The sequence below is a fragment of the Homo sapiens genome, chromosome 14 (assembly GCF_000001405.40).
Source record: "Homo sapiens chromosome 14, GRCh38.p14 Primary Assembly".
Lineage (NCBI taxonomy): Eukaryota > Metazoa > Chordata > Mammalia > Primates > Hominidae > Homo > Homo sapiens.
Genome location: NC_000014.9, coordinates 25370132 through 25388461, shown reverse-complemented (window position 1 = coordinate 25388461; position 18330 = coordinate 25370132). Strand labels below are relative to the sequence as shown.

General features: G+C 36.2%; 1 long non-coding RNA gene across 1 annotated transcript in view; it reads right to left on the bottom strand.

Annotated features, from left to right (window-relative positions):
- LOC112268135 (uncharacterized) overlaps positions 1 to 18330 on the bottom strand; it is a 93016-nt gene that overhangs the window by 55849 nt on the left and 18837 nt on the right. The window contains exon 2 of the long non-coding RNA XR_002957614.1: positions 11990 to 12069. This is a non-coding gene — a long non-coding RNA (uncharacterized LOC112268135). The remainder of the gene's footprint in view (positions 1 to 11989; positions 12070 to 18330) is intronic.

Sequence of the window (18330 nt, the reverse complement as noted above, 5' to 3'; positions counted from 1 at the left end):
AATATTCATGTGGCATTAATCCTTTCTGTGTGATTATACCACCTCACTGATTTTCCCACCTGTAACTGTGTAAAGCAAAGAAGACAGAACTTCACCTTTGGGACTTCTTTTTCCTTAAGAATTCTGGCAGGTTTACTGGTTTTGAAATGAAAAGCCCCTACACCTGAATTTAATGTCAGGTAACTGACTTTTGCTCAATTCTATTGCCTAACATGTCTGGCTACTTTTGTCCCTAGCTGTCCTTTCCATTAATCTTTAGTCCTTAGAAAATACCATCATCCAAAACTGTGCGGTATGGAGTAAATTTTGGAATGAAGAGGCTGATAAAAGGAAAGTTCTACCGGATAGGAGAAAAAAAAAACAAGATGCAATAGACAGAACATGAGGTCTGCATAGAAGACATATAATGGTGCCTTGTAAACATTATAAATATTCCCAGTCAGGTATATCAACTAGGAGACAGAATAATAATAATAATCATAACTGACTTTGAACAATTACTATGTCTCACATACCCTTTATGAGCATAATTTTATTGAATAGTTACCAAAAAACTAAGGATAATATCATTATTCCCAAGTTATAGAAGAAACAAAGGGCACAGAAAATTAATCAATTTTCCCAAAGTTATTCAATTAGAAAATAGCTTCACTAGGATTCAAATCAAGGTCTTTCTGGCTCCAAAGCCTGTGCTTTAAATCACTATGCCAGCCTGCTTTTTAAGCCATACAGAAATCAACATTAATTTTAAAAGTCACAGAGATATAGAGGCATTTATGTCTATATTCTGCTTGTGTTTTTATATGCTATTTAACCTTCGCAACTACAGTGAAGAATTCAGCAATGCAAGTATCAATCTACCCACTGCAAATTTGGAAAACTGTATGCATTCATTAATTAATTCAATAAATATTTATAAAGCACATACTTTTTTGCCAAGAAACATTCTAAGATCCGGTGGTACACAAGTTGGAAAAGATCCCTGCTTTCTTGTAACTCACATTCTAATAGTCAAACAAACAATAAACAACACATGAAAAAATTAATAAGATTAATGAGCAATAAAACTGGGTGAAGTGGCTGAGAGTGTGATGACTTGCCTAATTACACGGGCATTTGAGTGTTTTATAACTCAAATATATGCTGCAAAGTGAACTCCTGTCTTCCCGTCACACTTCTCTGTATCAGCTACTGGCAAAAAAGCTTGGAATCCACCTCAACATCTCTCTTTTTCTCACATTACCCAGTCAACTGGCACATCCTGTTAGTCTTATAATCAAAATATTTTCAGAATCCAGTCTCTTCTCACCATATCTGCTGCTACTTCTGGTTCAGTAGCCCTTAATTTGTCTATTGCTCTCAGTCTTGACCTCATAATCTCTTCTCAACAGCAGCCAGAGTGATCCTGTTAAAGCATAGGCTCTCTGTACTGCTTGTCCCATTGTCGCTCACTCTATCATCTCCTTCAAGCCTTTGCTCAAATGTCACCTTCTTGATGAGGCCTGATTTGGTGACATTTACCATGTTCTATTTTTTCCACAGTAATCAACACTTTCTAAAGTACTGCATAAAATACTTACTTATACTTTTTATTTATAGTCTGTGTCCCGCCACAGAATATAAGTTTTACCAGGGCAGGATTTATATGTTTTGTTCACTAATGCACCCCCAATGCCTAAAATAGTTCCTGACATATAGCAGTTTCTCCATATTTTGTGAATTAACAAATATTTGGAAAAAATTCCTTTTCCAGCAAGTTGAACACAGCCAGAGAAAAGATCAGTGAACTGGATATACATATTGAAACAGTTAAAGAAAAGGGATTAGAAATTATAGAGAAAAGGAAAGGGACTTATAGAACACAATGAAAAGGTTGTTGCATGAACATAATTGGAGTTCCAGGAGGCATAGGTAGAAAAAAAGGTAGAGGTAATATTTGAGAAGACAATATCCAATAATTTTTCAAAAATGAAGAAAAATGTCAAGTCAAAGATTCAAAAAGTATGAAACTCAAGAAAGATAAATACAAAGTAAACCATACCTAAGCACATCATAGTGAAGCAAAATCATAGAGGAAAATCATTCTAAGTATTACTGCCCTGAAAAAAGTTGCAAAGTATCATGTTACCTCCTACTCAATTTTGCCGCCCTTTGTTTTGCTACAGAAACCCACGTGCCTGAGAGACACAAGTGCAAGGGCAGAACCCTAGAATACAGATTCCCCAAATATTAGGAATTTTTGAGCATCATTTCTCATACTATTAACACAAAATTAAGGCAAATATTTTTACATGAATAGTCATTCATTTATAAAAGATTCACTGGCCTCTATTAGATTGTAATATTCCCTAAGTCCTGCTACTTCTTATTCCTTGAAATTCTATGATGGTGGTGCGGCTAACATAGTCTATATTTTATTATTAGATCACACTGAATCAGATAATAGAGGCAACTGCAATGCACCCAAATGCCAAGGTTCTTTCTCCACTGTATCAATGAAAAAAATGGAGAAAACTTGGAAAGAAAAATTACAAATATCTTGGTCTATTATACAGATACTAATCTTAAATGTATCTTTTAATACACCTGTAAAATTTAAAATTTTGCATATTTCCAGCAGCTAAAGTTGAAAGAAAACAGTAGCTTAAAGACATTTTCTCAGGTGCTTAAAAAGATGCATATCATCACATCCATTAACCATCACACATTTTTTAATGTGAAAATGAACCACCATGCCATGCCTCTGATCCAAATATAGGGTGTTCTAATTTAGTGTCAATAGATGTTTAGGCTTGATTATTTGGAAATAAGAAGCTACCCCTACCCTACCCTACCCCCCCAATCCCTACCTCACCCCCACCTCCACACACAAAGTATGTGTGAAACAAGTTGGATGACAAAAATCTTGAAAAAATATTTTAACTGATGATTTGGGGAGTTTTGATAACTTTACTAAATTAGCAATCCTCTAGTGAAAGTGGTTACATTCTTTCTTCAATGCCTGTCACCCTTTTCTCATAGATTAGAAACAACGTGGTGGCAAGAATGCCATTTTTCTTTGATAGTTGTCAGAAGTCATTTTGAAGACTTTCATCTGACTCTGGGAAAGCCATTTTGAAGTGGAACTAAAGAGAGCATACATGATTTAATGACAAAATTGCTTTGTGATTTAGAAAGAGCATTATAGAAACACGTAAAAATATTCTAAATGAAAAGGCTAGCATTTTAGTCAAATCAATGTGGTATGGTTTTAGACTATGAGGCAGAATTCAGAAAAGAAAGCAGAGAGGAAAAGTTATCCAAGGCCATTTTAGTATCAAGGCTGAGAAGAAAATCATATGGATTATAGCTGGGAGTTAGGGGGAAGTGTAGAATCACACCTAAAGTCATGTTAATGGGGAGATAATGATCTTGAGATAACCAAGCCAGGTCTCAGACTCCACCTGAACCAAGTCTCAAGTGTTCCTTGGGCTAAAAGCTCTAATAGATGGAGACTTTCTATTTCTATAGCAATGGGAACTATAGATAAATATAGTTGTCAGTGTCAGGTAAAAAGTGTGAGGAGAGGGTGGCTTTCAGAAGCAGACAGACTTTAGGATAGTACCTGAAACAACTTCAAAGTTGCAAAGCCACAAGGACATCATCATGTTATTTTGACAATATTTGCTAAATCTGTTTATGGCCTGTTATCATGCCATATGCCAGACACTGTGCTAATTCTTTACATGCATTATCCCATGCAATCCTCATAACAGACTATAGGACAGGCACTATTATTATCCTATTTTACAGATGAGAAATCTAAAGTTAATTTACTTGCCCGAAATTATAGCTAATCAGTGGAAGAGCTTACCTGAGTTCTAAAATATGTGTTTTTAACCACTAAGTTTACTACTTCCCGTCGGCTTTCCAGCACTGCTAGAGTTCTGCTCCTCCCAACGCCTTTGTCTCACTGCTGTGCTCTACCATTTCCTTAAAACAGTCATATAAAAGGATGTCAGCACCGAAATGCTCATCCGGCCACCAAGACACAATCATGCTTGCATACCAAAGTGAAGTGCCAAGGCAAAATACAGAATTTACAAGGAAATATTCAACAAATGTTTCTGTCACTTTTGGAACCCTCAGCTAGACCAAGAATCTAAAAGGTGATTAGAATGTGAAGAGGAATTTCCAAGAGGAGATTGTGGATCATGATGGTGTCTAAAAAGTAGCCAGTGAGCATGTACAGAGGGGAAACAAAAAGACAAATATAGCTCCTTCCCCAAAAGTGGGCAATTGCCAAATCAAACTTTCAGCATTAACTAAAGGAGGACACAGAGAAGCCATTCTTCTGAATGAAGAATGAAATGCTAATTTGTTTTGGATTGGACAATGAAAGTTTCTAAATTGAAAATATGTTTCTAGACTTAAACTATTCATTATCTATGAGTAAGAAGAAAAGTAATCTAGTGGCAAGAAAAAAGATGCTCTTACTGAATACATTTTTAAGAGACTATTGAAGACAACAAAAACTGTTTTTGATTCATCTCCCATGAATCGTATGTTAATCGTGTCTTTTACATTAGCAGCACCTTCCAGTGGAGCATACTGGAAATGGGTAGTGCATGTGTGTATTCAAGAATCTGGGTTCTGAAACTCCCGATGAGAAGATGAAGACTCACTTGCAAGAAATGATAACTTTCCAGGAGCAAAGAGGAGTAAGTGCTCACCCAAAAAATCATCCTGCCACTCCACTTTTGCCAAAAGACTTAAAATTATATCCATCTCTAAAACTGCCAAGATCATAAAAACAAATTATTCAGTGGTTACTATATGCAAGACATTATGCTCATTGCTTTATAAGAATTATCTCTTTTGATTCTCCTAATAATGTTAGATAGATATGGTTTTTATTGTTTAAGAGATTGACAGGATAAAATAAAATCTTATCTCTAAACAAAGTGATACAGAACAACACATATTCAGAGAGGAAAGATACTAAATTTTGCTTAGGAAAATAGAAGATGGCATTAAAAAGAAGGCATTTTATTTTTGAACATAAAAGTCACTCATGACTATTGTGCAATTGGAAAATGTAAAAAAATGTGAAAAGGAAATATACATTTAATTTATTTTCATTTTACCCAGATAGAATCATGTGATACATACTACAAGGTAAAGTGCTTTTGATTAATAATATCATGAGCATTGCTTCCATAATTATTCTTCCAACACAGAATTTTTAATGAATGTTTAGTGTTCTATCTTGTTGATGAATAATTAATTTTAAAACCTCTTGTTAATTTAATGAAACTCTTTTTACACTACTAAAAAATAAAGGTAAAAATCCCTGAACAAAAATTTTTGTATAGCATTCTCATTATTCTCAGCTTAGCCCAAGTTAATCAAACAACCTCAAAATTTAGTGGCTTACAAAAATTAAGATTGTGGGGAGTTTTGTTTGTTTCCTTCCTGCCACAGACACTCAAAAATCATAGCTGTGTCACAGATGCAAAAATAAGAAAAAAAATCCCTTAGAATCAGTGGCAGTGGCCATAATCCAAACTTTACACAAGCTGGCCATTCATATATACATATTCTGCCTGGTCAAGGAAACCTGAATCTGTAAACTTGGTTTAAACTGGTCCCTGAGTGCGCTCAGCATCTGGCAGAAACTGCTATGGTCTGAATATTTGTATCCCCCCAAAACACATATGTTGAAATTTTACTTCTGAAGGTAATGGTATTAGAAGGTGGGGTCTCTGGGAGGTGATTAGGTCGTGAGGGCTGCCCCCTTAGGAATAGAATTAGTACCCTGGTAAAAGAGACCCCAGAGGGTTAGCTAGTTCTTTCCACCAAATGAGGATACAGCAAGAAGGTGCTGTTTATGAAGAAGGGGCCCTCACAAGACCCCAGATCTAAGCCTTGACCTTAGACTTTCCAGCTTTCATAACTATGAGAAATAAATTTATGCTGTTTATAAGCTACTCAGGATAAGGTATTTTATTATAGGAGCCTCAAGACACTAAAACAAAAGGCAATCCACATTCTTTCTAGAGGAAGACACCATCTTCTATGAACTGACTCTCCAAAATGGATATGTTGACGCTCTAATCCCCAAGATTATGGAATTTAGAGCTGGGACCTTTGAAAGTTAAAAAAAAAAAAAAAAAAAGAAAGAAAGAAACGAAAGAGATGATCTCTTTCCCTTTGCCATGTGAGGATATAGTGAGAAGGTGCTAGTCTGCAAACCAAGAAGACCCTCACCACACAGTGAATCTGTTGGCACCCTGAGCTTGACTTCTCAACCTCCAGAACTGTGAGAAGTAAACATTTGTTGTTTAAGCCACACAATCTATGGTATTTTGTTATTCAGTCCAAACTAAGATGATATAATTCTAGGTTGCGGAGTACCACCGCAAATCATTTTTTAAGGACACTGAGAAAAATAGAATGAAAATGACACACAAAAGAAAACAAGGAACCAGCAAGGAAAAACAAAACAAAACAAAACAAATAGCAGCAGATGTCAGATAGGAATTATCAGAAAGATTATAAAACAATTATGTTTACTATAATAAAATAATGAAAATGCAAGCTGACATGCTTAGAAGTACGAAGTAAAAAAAGTCTATTTTGACTTCAGGCTAGACTCTAGTGACATAGCCTCCAGTGTTGGGGTGATCAGTGTTCACTCTGAGTCATTCTGCAGGAGGAAGAGCTTCTCTAGCCACGTTGGGATCTTATGATTTGCTGTTTCCACTGGAACACATCAAAAACCACCATCTCCAGCAAGTTATATCATAGAGTCTACGACCCCTACTGGGGAGGAGGGAAATACACCCTGAGCTGCATGTTGTTTCTAAATGGATACTGAAAAGTGTCTTACTGATGATGGACAGCTGCCCAACTTTAGGATAACTCAGGCCTCACCCAAAGGCAGACATAGACAGAAGAATACATATCCTCCAAATTTCTTTCAGGTTGACAGGGCTGCCTTGATTCAGGTAGCAGACACAGATCACTAAGTGTTTTTCTGCGTGCAACTTCATTGTCCTTCCAAATAATAGAAATTCTTTCATTTTCATCAGTAGAATGACTTTCAGTGTCTGTCTGACTATACTGAAGGCTATAATATAAATTCTATCTTTTTTCAATTTGGGTAGAAATCACAGACATGGCATGTGTCACACATTCAGTGAGTATGAATGAATAAGGAAATAAGTGAATAAATGAAACTTTAAAAAGAAAGTTAGAAGAGATGGCTCCAAAGATTGCCAGACAGATACCATTTAAAATCAGCTATATTTCCCTAATCATTTAATGCTAATTTTTGTCTGAACCTTTAATTGATACCATAGAAAATGTTTCACCAATAACTAGCTTTGGTAATTTCAAGAATCATGGTGGCTTACAAAGGGGAAAAAATGGGGGCAGCACTTTGGTCCTACTTATCACCCATATTCACGTTTGATGGTTCCCAGAAGTCTACTGGGAAATATGAATATTAGACATCTGCCTTTGAGAAAAATATCAACAAATAATATTGAAAAGGTGTTTTCTCTGCCTCATATGTTCCATTTAGGACCTAATAAAAGACTGACAAATCAAAACATAAAACTGGCTTGAAATGTTGTGAAAAATAAATAAGAGCTGCCTTCTCATCACTTTTTTCTTTTAATATAGATCACACAAAGTAATGTACACAGAGAGTCTATGCTGTCAGTTTTTATTCAACAATGCTAGAATACAAGGAAACTTAAAATACCTGGTAAAACAATAAACATGAACACTCTCCCCCACCTCTCCTGCCACAGAAGTTCCTAGAATATAGTCTGTGAGGGCTTTGAATAAACAGTATGTAGGAGCAGTTTCCTTAGAAAACAAACAGTTCATGTAAAGAATGAAAAAGAGCCAAAGCAGAAAATTCACTCAGAAAAGAAACTTCTAGAATGATCCCTGGAGATCCTCTCAGATAGGAGAGGATAGCTACAAAAAAATTAGAAAATCTTACTGAGGTCATACTAAAGACGAGAGGAGAGGAAGCAAGCACACCTCTCTCCCCACTCTCAGGGAGAAATCCAAAACTAATAAAAAGGAGCATTATAGTGAGAAAGCATAATGAAATGGCTAAATGGAAGTGAGCACAGAGATGCATGAAGAAAAATGTAAAATGAGATGCAATGGTTTAAAAATTGCACTGAGATGGATGTATTAACAGGAACATGAGAGGCATATTAAAGTTTTAAATAATGCATCAGTTGAAGGTATAATGAAAGCATTAAAAGATGCATATCTGGAAGAATACATAATCTTGCAGTACATGTTTAGTGATTCAGGACATAGGTACAATGAGATGTGCTTATTTACAGGACTTAATAATGACCATACATACAGTTCAGAACCCTATGGAATATTCTGATTTGAGAACTATGGAAACCTTTGACAGCCACCTAGATAATTAAATAAATACAGAATAACATCCTTGCAAAAAAGGCTGAAGAAATCATATTATTCCTTTTATTTTTTGCCCATTAAGAGCTATTAGAGCAATAGAATTCAACATCCTCTGAGACAAAAGCAAAAAATGGCTTCAGTTGCATTATGAAGGCTTTAGATTTACCCTAAACATGAATGTCTTGTGAGAGATTTACATACTGAATTGCTAAACTGGAGAAAGAATTTTTCTATGTAAATTCTCCAAACTACAATAAAAGCTCACCGGTTTATCATAATAACAATAATCAATTATCCACTTAACTAGCAATGGAAAAAATATGGGAGCATAGTATAACCTTATTGGATTAGGTTTTCAGTCCATATAATATAGACTTTGTTGCCAAAAGTCCCATGAGAAGTCCTGTAAGAATATGGAAGATGTTACCCTTTATCTCAGCTTCTCTGAATAACTATTTATGACCTTTTCATTATTTTCCCAGAATCCTGTATAGCAGTACTACTTCTTTAAATAATCAATTTTATGCTATATTAACTTCTATGTATGAAAATTATGCTCTTAATTTGCTCAAATTTAACTCCATAAGATTTCCAAAGATACCCCCCTTTTTAATTTTTGGGACTTGGTAGCATTTAGTGTTTCTTTTATCTCCTTAGTCACATTGCTCATTAATTTAAGACTCTAGTCAATCCCTTCTAAGTATTAACCTTTCTAAAACAAATTAAAATTTTAAAGTCTATCTTCAAAGACGATTTATCTATCTCCACTTCATCTCTTCCATAATTTTATTTCCCCTAGTCTGAAGCTCCTAAATGAAGATGAGTTAATATCTTTCATCTGTGGGACAAGCCACTGAGTAATCGTTCTGGAAAAAAACCATAATGAACTCTTCTGGTTATTTTTCTGTTCGGCATTTTCTAGTTATCTTCTGCATCTGGAGAGAACCTGAATTGTGTTCTCCTAGCCTAGTTTTTCCTAAAGAAATAAGACATAAAGACTGAAGGGACTCTAAAAAGTCAATGATACTTATTCATCTTTTTGTCCCCAAAACCTACGTGTATATTTCCTAATGATACTAGCTCACCTTTGTTGATGGATTCTATTTGCCAGGTACTTGGCTGAAATCTTTATACCCATCATCTATTTAATCCTTATAACAGCCTTATGGGTATATATGAGGGACTAACATTTATTGAGCCATTTATATGTGTCAGGCACTCCTTTTAAATGTTTTACAAATACAGTCTTATTTAATCATTGAAACAAATTTGAGAAGTCGGCATTTCCATTAGCACCTTCTTAAAAATGAGGAAACAGAAGCTTTCCTGAAGTTGAGTAAGGTCACACACTACTAATAATAGAGAAACCAGGATTCTAACTTAAGCCCATTCTATTAACCACTATGCTGTACTGCCTCATTCATCAAATGATGAATAAATAAATGAAAACATAAATAAATTAGTGGTTTGAATGACTGATTAAATAACTGCAGCTAAGTATAACTTCAAGTCATAGAGAATTTGTGGGCATTGTAATGTGTGAGAGTTGGATTATACCATCAAAGCTGGATTATACTATCATTCAAAATCCTTTTATTTCTAGTACTCTGTAAAATTAGTAGCCCAAATTAATCAATTCAAAAGCTTTTGCTGCTTTTAAGACTTATGAAACCTATTCAAATGTCTGACCTTTTTTAAAACACTAATAATCATGGAAACGCTCTATAAAAAATTATTAAACATTGTCAGCCTTTTTCTTTCTGAGAAAAGAAACACTGGTTCTAATCAAGCTATAAAATATTGAAATTCTCAGCAAAGCAGTACATATCAGTTAGTTTAGCTTGCATAATATTACTATGAAGAATATTAAACACATTAGAAATCAGAGGGGAAGAGCATGTGGACAGAAATAAACATTTTTAAAAGTGTTGAAGTCACTATTTGATTAATGTCTAATGAATACTTCTATTAATCATATTTGTTTATTAATTTCCTAGATATAAGTTTATTTCAAAAAATACACTCTAGAAGTTATTTTGTTACCTCTTTCTATTTGAATAACAACAAAGAAGGAATCAATATGACCCTGAGAAGATCTAAAGAAGTAACTTTAAGAAGTAAAAGTGAATGTTAGTTTAGTTTTCTAGCACTGCTAGCTTTCCTAATGCCAGTTACAAATTCAAGCCATTTCATTCTCCAGGAAGCCGTACAGATCTCTGAACTACTGATTTGGCATTAATTTACCAACCCATATTGTGTATTAAACTTCACTGAAAAGCTTTGAAGCACTTCAATCAAAAGTTAACTTGATTGTGTGGTATTTTCAGAAATGATGTATGATAATATTCTAAAAGACAATTTTCAGTTTGGGCAGCAACTTTGTTCTACTGAGATTCACTGGGATCTTCATACAGGTGCAAAGAATTTGAATGTAGGTAAGAAACTTCAGATTATCTAGTCAAAAAGTTTACATGTGAGAAAACAGTGGATTTTCTCTTTGGCTAGTTAATGGCACAGCCAGAATGAGACTTTGGAGTCTCCTTCATATTTCAGTGCACCACACTGACTCTCTGCTGTGAACTGAACTGTATCACTCCAAAATCCATATGTTGAAGACATAACCCCCAACGTGACTGCATTTGGAGATATGGCATTTATAAAAGTAATTAAGGCTAAATGAGGACATAAGGATGGGGCCCTGATATGATAGAATTAGTGTCCTTATAAGATGAGATACAAGAGAGCTCTTTCTCTCTCTACCATATGAGGAGAAACTGAGAAAGTGACCATTTGCAAGCTAGGAAGGAAAACAACTCTCACCAAAAAGCATACCCTGCCAGAACCTTGATGCTGGACTTTCCAACATCCAGAACTATGAAAGGATAAATTTCTGATGTCGGAGTCACCACGTCTATGAGATTTTGTTATGGCAGCCCTAGCAGACTAATATACCCTCCTCCTTAGTTCTTCAAGACTTCAGGCCAACCTGTACCTCCAGAGAACAGAATTGCCAGCAATAAGCCAATAACCCAGTACTCAAAGTAGCCAGAAGAGAGCAGAAAATGTACAGGGCTAGCTCAACTATATGTCCTTTTAATAAATGTTAGTTGAGCACCAACTAAGTTTGGAACACCATATAAGACCTGGAAAGGCAATAGTGGATAAGCGTCTACACTTATCCCCAAGGAACTTAAAATCTGATGAGGATGCAGACTTCAAAGAAAGAAGATTTTTGAAATAGTGTCACTAAATAAGTGACTGAACTATGCACTGTGTTAAGCACTTAGGATAAATCAATGAACGAGACATACTTCCTGATCTCAGGGAGTTTACAGTCTAGATGAAAATGATATTCATACAGGTCTTAAATTTTGATTTATTAATGAAACTGTATTTCTATTTATTTCATTTCTTTGCAATCCTGTGTATTTTATGTGTTTAAAAACATTACTCTGAGATAGGTCAGAGAGGTTTCCCAAGATCATGTCCATAGATTTACAGTCTATAGCACTCCAATGTGAAATAGATAAGGCATTCTTAAGCAACTCACTTTTGTGCACAGTAGCAGATCCATTCCCACAATTAAATGCCAGGATTTGTATACATTTGAGACGATTCTTCAGGAAACAACTATAAGACAAAGGACACCAACTTATGATTATATATATTGAAGGTCACTAGAGTCATGGTCAGATCCCGACTCTGAGAATGGTCAAGAGCATGTGGACAGTGGGGCTAATGAAAAATGGAAAGGCACTGAAAATCTTCAGGAGTGAGCACTGAGGAGCTTCAGCCTGTACCCACTTGCACCAAAGACAGCTGCATCCATTCCTCAGTCTCTGTCGCTTTTCATGCCAATTAGGCAAATACAGTGGGGATTAATCTACTGTGTCGTAACAGCAGATCATTGCTCCTCCAAATTAGTAAAAATGAGAGCTGACAGTATAATTTCAGAGATAGAAGGGACTTTCAAAATCATATGGTCCAACTTCATTTCATAGATGAGAAAATTGAAGATTAACATATAATTATGTGACTTACCCAAGGTCATCGAGCTTATTACAAATGGAACTGGACCTAGAAATTAGATCTCCTAACATCAAAGGGAATGATATCGCTCCTCCATTAGGTCTTCATAATGAACAAGTGACAGATATCAGTATAGATATTCTCATAAAATTAATAGTCATCAATATTTTAATTACCTTTGGATATGTGGATGTGAATAACACAAAGTTAGTAGAAAAATAGGGTAAACAAAAAATAATTTAGTAGAAAGCAGAAATTTAAGTCTACAAAACTTCAAATGGGATGAGTGCACCAATGTACACCACAATTTTTGACATTTTATTTAAACTTTTTAAAATTAAATACTAACAAAAATCATATTTATTCTTAAAGTGCATCTTTTTAATGGGATCACTAATTTCTGCGTAACTCTCTCATGCTGAATTATATTTCTGAAGCTCGATTTTGATTGTACAATTTCCATTTTTACCTGTAAAACAAATGTAGTGTTGTCATTCAGGTTTTCCTGGCCTTTCACCAAGGATTGTTGAACTATAACACTTGAATAATCTGAATAGATTCCAATACAGTATATAAGAGCAAATGATATTCTAGGCTTTTTAAAAGAAGAATAAGGATAAATTATATTATGTATTTCTTCCAGACAACTTTTCAAAGCCAAATGAATTTTGATTTATGATATCCTTCTGAACATCAACTTTCAGAGCCTCCTACTCATTCACATGTGAGACTTATTGAAGTAACACCAAGTTCTCTGTTTAAAGTTCTATTTATTCCTCTGCTGTCCTCTGTGGTTGTCCTTCAGGCTGGTTGTGTGAGTGGTACCTAAAGTGATGCACGTCACCATACATCTATCAAGTGTAATAAGGTAAGTAATTCTGCCCAAAGTGCTTTCCTCAAACTAGCCCAGTAACCAAGTTCTCCTTCTTTAAACAACATGCTCAAGAAAAATATTTGCAGATGCTTATACTCAATAGCCATTTGCTTTAGTTGTGGAAATAAGTAACAAAGACTAAAATATTTACCTTTTGGAGATCTTCCTCCAAATATCCTGTTATTTCTGGAGTAATATTTGTGAAGAATTGTAAACCATATATGGCCCTTTATGGCCTTAGTTGTTATTATTATTATTTTGGTAGCTTAATAGTCACTTAAAAATGGATATGCATGACAGCTTATAGTTGTTATTATTATTATTTTGGTAGTTTAATAGGCACTTAAAAATGGATATGCATGACAGCTTATGAGTTATTTGTAAATACACACATGACCCTTCCCATTCATTTCAGAATAAGCCTTTGAAAAATCTCATTTTGAATCTCATTCATCCATATATCTCTTCCTGTCCAAATGTTCTGTGACATATTATGAACACAAGTCCCTAAGCTAATTTCTCTTCTGGTGTCCTATTTGGTGCCCAGCATAATATCTTGCGCTTACATATTTTATTAAGTGAGAAAAGAAATGTTGAAAAAGAAGGGATGGCTGACCCTCCTGGGGTTGAGATGTGAAAAATGCTTATGAATTAATAGGGTGGTTTAGAGGGAAAGAACTTTCCAAGCAGAGGCTACCAGGATTACAGTGCTCAAATCTTAGGAAGTGAGTATGAAAACAGGTTAAATTACTCTATGGGCAAGGTTTTAGTAGGGTCCTCTTCATCCATTTGTGGTTATCAAATTCAAAATATTTGTAGAAAAATTCTAGCCCCTCACTACTTTGTGGAGATGCCTTGAAAAGGAATTAGAAAGGTGGATTAGTCCATTTTACACTACCATAACAGAATACCACAGACTGGACAATTTATAGAACAGGAATTTATTTGGCTTACAGTTCTGGAGGCTCAGAAGTCCAAGAACAAAACATCTAGTGATGGCCTTCTTGCTGCATGATCCCATGGAAGAAGGGCAAAGAGAGGGCAAGAGGGAGCAAGAAGGGGTTGAACTTGTTTATATAACAAGCCCACTCTCATAACTAACCAACTCCCACAATGCTAACCCACTCTGGTTTTAATAGCATGAATTCATTCATGAAGGAAGAGCCCTTATGTCCTAATTACTTCTTATTAGGCCCCACCTCACAACACTGATTCATTGGAGATTACATTTCCAACACATTAACTTTGAGGGACACATTTAAACCATAGCAAGAGGTGAGTGCATTTCATAAACCTTTAGAAAAGAATGGTCAAAAATACCATCCAGTGCTTAGATCTGTTATTTCACATAGCTCACTAACCATTCATGTGTAGTTTTGTTTTGTTTTGTTATTTTGTTTTCGCAAAAATGGAAACATAATCTATAGCTGTTTTCACCTGATTTTTCATTTAATATTGTATAGCGAACAGTTTTTCATGTCAAACAAAATACAGATTTTCAATATTAGTTTTATGTTAAAAATTATCCCATCAAATAGTTCTAATACAAATTCTTCAACTAGACCTCAATTTTTAGACATGTAAATATTAATAGTTTCAGATTTTTTTAATGTTTACTTGACGTGGTTTGGCCCTGTATCCCCCCCAAATCTCATCTCGAGTTGTAATCCCCATGTGTTGAGGGAGGGGCCCAATGGGAAATGATCAGATCATGGGAACAGTTTCCTCCCATGCTGTTCTCGTGATAGTGAAGGAGTTCTCATGAAATCTGATGGTTTTAAAAGTGCCAGTTTCCCCTGTGTTCTCTCTCTCTCTCCTGCCACCTTGTGAAGAAGGCACCTGCTTCCCCTTCACCTTCCGCCATGGCTGTAAGCTTCCTGAGGCCACCCCAGCCATGTGGAACTATGAGTCCATTAAACCTCTTTTGTTTATAAATTACCCAGTCCTAGGTAGTATCTTTATAGAAGTGTGAAAATGGACTAATGCATTATTGTTTTATTATAAAGGATATTGTAAAGGATACAGATGAAGAGATGCATAGGGCAAGATATGGGGGAAAGGGTACAAAGCTTCCATGTCCTCCCTGAGTGTGCCACCTTTAGTAACCTCCATATGTTCAGCTATCCAGAAGCTCACTGAACCCTGTCCTCTTGGGTTTTTGTGGTAGTTTCAAATTTTTTAATATAAAACACTGTAAGGACATTACTATGGATAAAATTTGTGTACCTATTCCTAATCATTTAATGTAAATGGTTCTGGAATCAAGTACAGTACCTGGAATTAAACAGACCTGGTTCAAATTCTAGCTATACCACCTACCAACTGTGTGACTTGGGCAATTCAATCAATCAATGAGACTCAGTTTCCTCATCTATAAAATGAAGATAGTAATAATATCTATATTATTAGGTTGTTGAGAGTTTTAGATAAGATCCTAGAAATAAACCACATAGTATGATATCTGCAACATATTAAACACTTGATAAATAATATGTCTTATTTTTATTAGAAAATTCTACATTTAAGACTTTTGAGATATATTGCCAAACTTTCCCCAAAAAATATTGTATGAATTTGTTTTTTTATCAGCCATGTGTGAGACAGCCCAAGGACATATATTAGGTAGTAGAGTTTTACTACACCACCACTGCTTCAGAGAATTCTGTTAATAGGAAAGATCTAGTTTAAAGCAGCCACGGAAGCAGTCAGTGCTCTGCTATATCTCTTTGGATTTCTTTACCACGTTCATGCACGCCAACTACTGATGTGCTTTTTAATCCTGACGGCCAGCTGTGAGTCTTTGTTGGGCTTCCTTCATGCTGCTGGAATCTGCTTTGTGCAAAAGGAAAGCCAGAAGTGCTTGGGGATTCACTTCCTCTCACCACAGGGATAACCTTAACCAAAGACTGACTTGTAAGTGTATATAAATACCCTAGCTTCCTTGTTTCCTCTTGGAAACAACTCCAAGGTGTGGTCTACTCTATCTTCAAGATTCCCTGTGGAGCTGGACCATCATTCCCTGTGAGTCCTGCTTGCCTGGCCTCCTTCCTTTCCCTGACCAATTTCCCATTCCAATAAAATGTTCTGGGAAGGTTTTCTAACAAGTCACACTTCACAGAAGTCCCTGTACCACAACTGGCTTGTAAGAAAGGAAGAAGATATTTTGGTTGTGAGAACTCAAATATAAATTCTTTAAAAAATTATTTCATTTTTGTCATGAACCTTTATTCTAACAGAATACAATATATATTTCTAATTTGTGAATTTGTATACTATGGCATTGTTTCAGTTTAATCAGCAGAAGGAAAAGCAGAGAGCCAAATAGAGGAAGCAATAGTTTGTGCTTTAATGGAAAGCATGCTTATGTGGTACTCAAATATCCCAGAGTCTAGTCTAGGTCTGTGAATAACTAGCTGTGTAATCCTGAGCAAGTCATTCACCGTTTCTAGGCTTCAGAATATCTGCTGATATTCTCTTGGGCTGAAGAACATCTCCAGGGTCTTTAAATACCTATGAAAATATTGCTATCTGGACAGGCATATCTCAGTGTGGAGCTCGCATATGCCCGTAATCATTAACTTTCATATTTCTTTGAAGACATCCACATTTCTATCATGTACTTTCTCATTCCAATCTCATTTTTCTTCTGTCTTGACTTCTAAGGGAGGCCTGTTTTTCAGCCTTTGATGAGCAGCAGATTCTATCCCTGCTGCTATAGAAAATCCATCATTCATGCCCCACTGCGAATTTCTGACTCTTTCACTCAACATATTACTAACCATGCAGCTTCAGATCTTAATATGCTCAGCAGAGCAGTCATGCTTGCAGTAGACCAAAAACAAGAAAAACTGGATCTGCCTCACATATGTTTGTTTGTGCAATCTGAGTAAGCAGAGTGGCAGAAGAAACAGTCTTAAGACTAAGGAGCTGTGTCTTCTTCCTGTGTTCTGGTGAAGGCACAATGTATTAATGAGGAAGCAGGAGGAAGGCATGAGAGAATTCAAGTTTTCTCTGTAGGGCAGCAGACCCTGATTTTATTTAATTGTGAAGCACAGTCCAATTTCTCTGCAAACAAATGGATTAGGAGAGGTGGCAACTGCTAGGTGAGATTAAGGACTTTAAAAGAAGCAGATCCCACCTCTATTTAAAACTGAAACTTCAAGACAAAGCACTATATACACCCACAAGAGGGAAAAGATGTACAAATATGATAATAGCAATAAAATAGTGAGAACGTTGATCAACTAGAACTCTCTTACACTATTGGTAAGAGTGTAACTTATACAACCGTTTTGGAAAGCACCATGCCATAACCTGCTGAAGTTTAGTAGATGCATATTTTATGGTCATGCTCCTGCATAAATATGTACAGAACCCTTGCATACAAGCACAAGTTCATATAAACATTGTTCCTATTCATTAAGAATGGGGAACCACAAGGGGCGGTTCCAAGATGGCTGAATAGGAACAGCTCCTGTCTACAGCTCCCAGCGTGGGTGACACAGAAGATGGGTGATTTCTGCATTTCCAACTGAGGTACCGGGTTCATCTCACTGGGGCTCATCAGACAGTGGGGGCAGGACAGTGGGTGCAGCCCACCGAGTGTGAGCTGAAGCAGGGCGAGGCATCGCCTCACCCAGGAAGTGCAAGGGGTCAGGGAATTCCCTTTCCTAGCCAAGGGAAGGGGTGACAGATGGCACCTGGAAAATTGGGTCACTCCCACCCTAATACTGCGCAAACGGTCTTAGCAAACGGCACACCAGGAGATTATATCACGTGCCTGGCTCGGAGGGTCCCACACCCACGGAGCCTCACTCATTGGTAGCACAGCAGTCTGAGATCAAACTGCAAGGTGGCAGCGAGGCTGGGGTGTGGCACCCGCCATTGCTGAGGCTTGAGTAGGTAAACAAAGTGGCTGGGAAGCTCGAACTGGGTGGATCCCACCGCAGCTCAAGGAGGCCTGCCTGGCCCTGTAGACTCCACCTCTG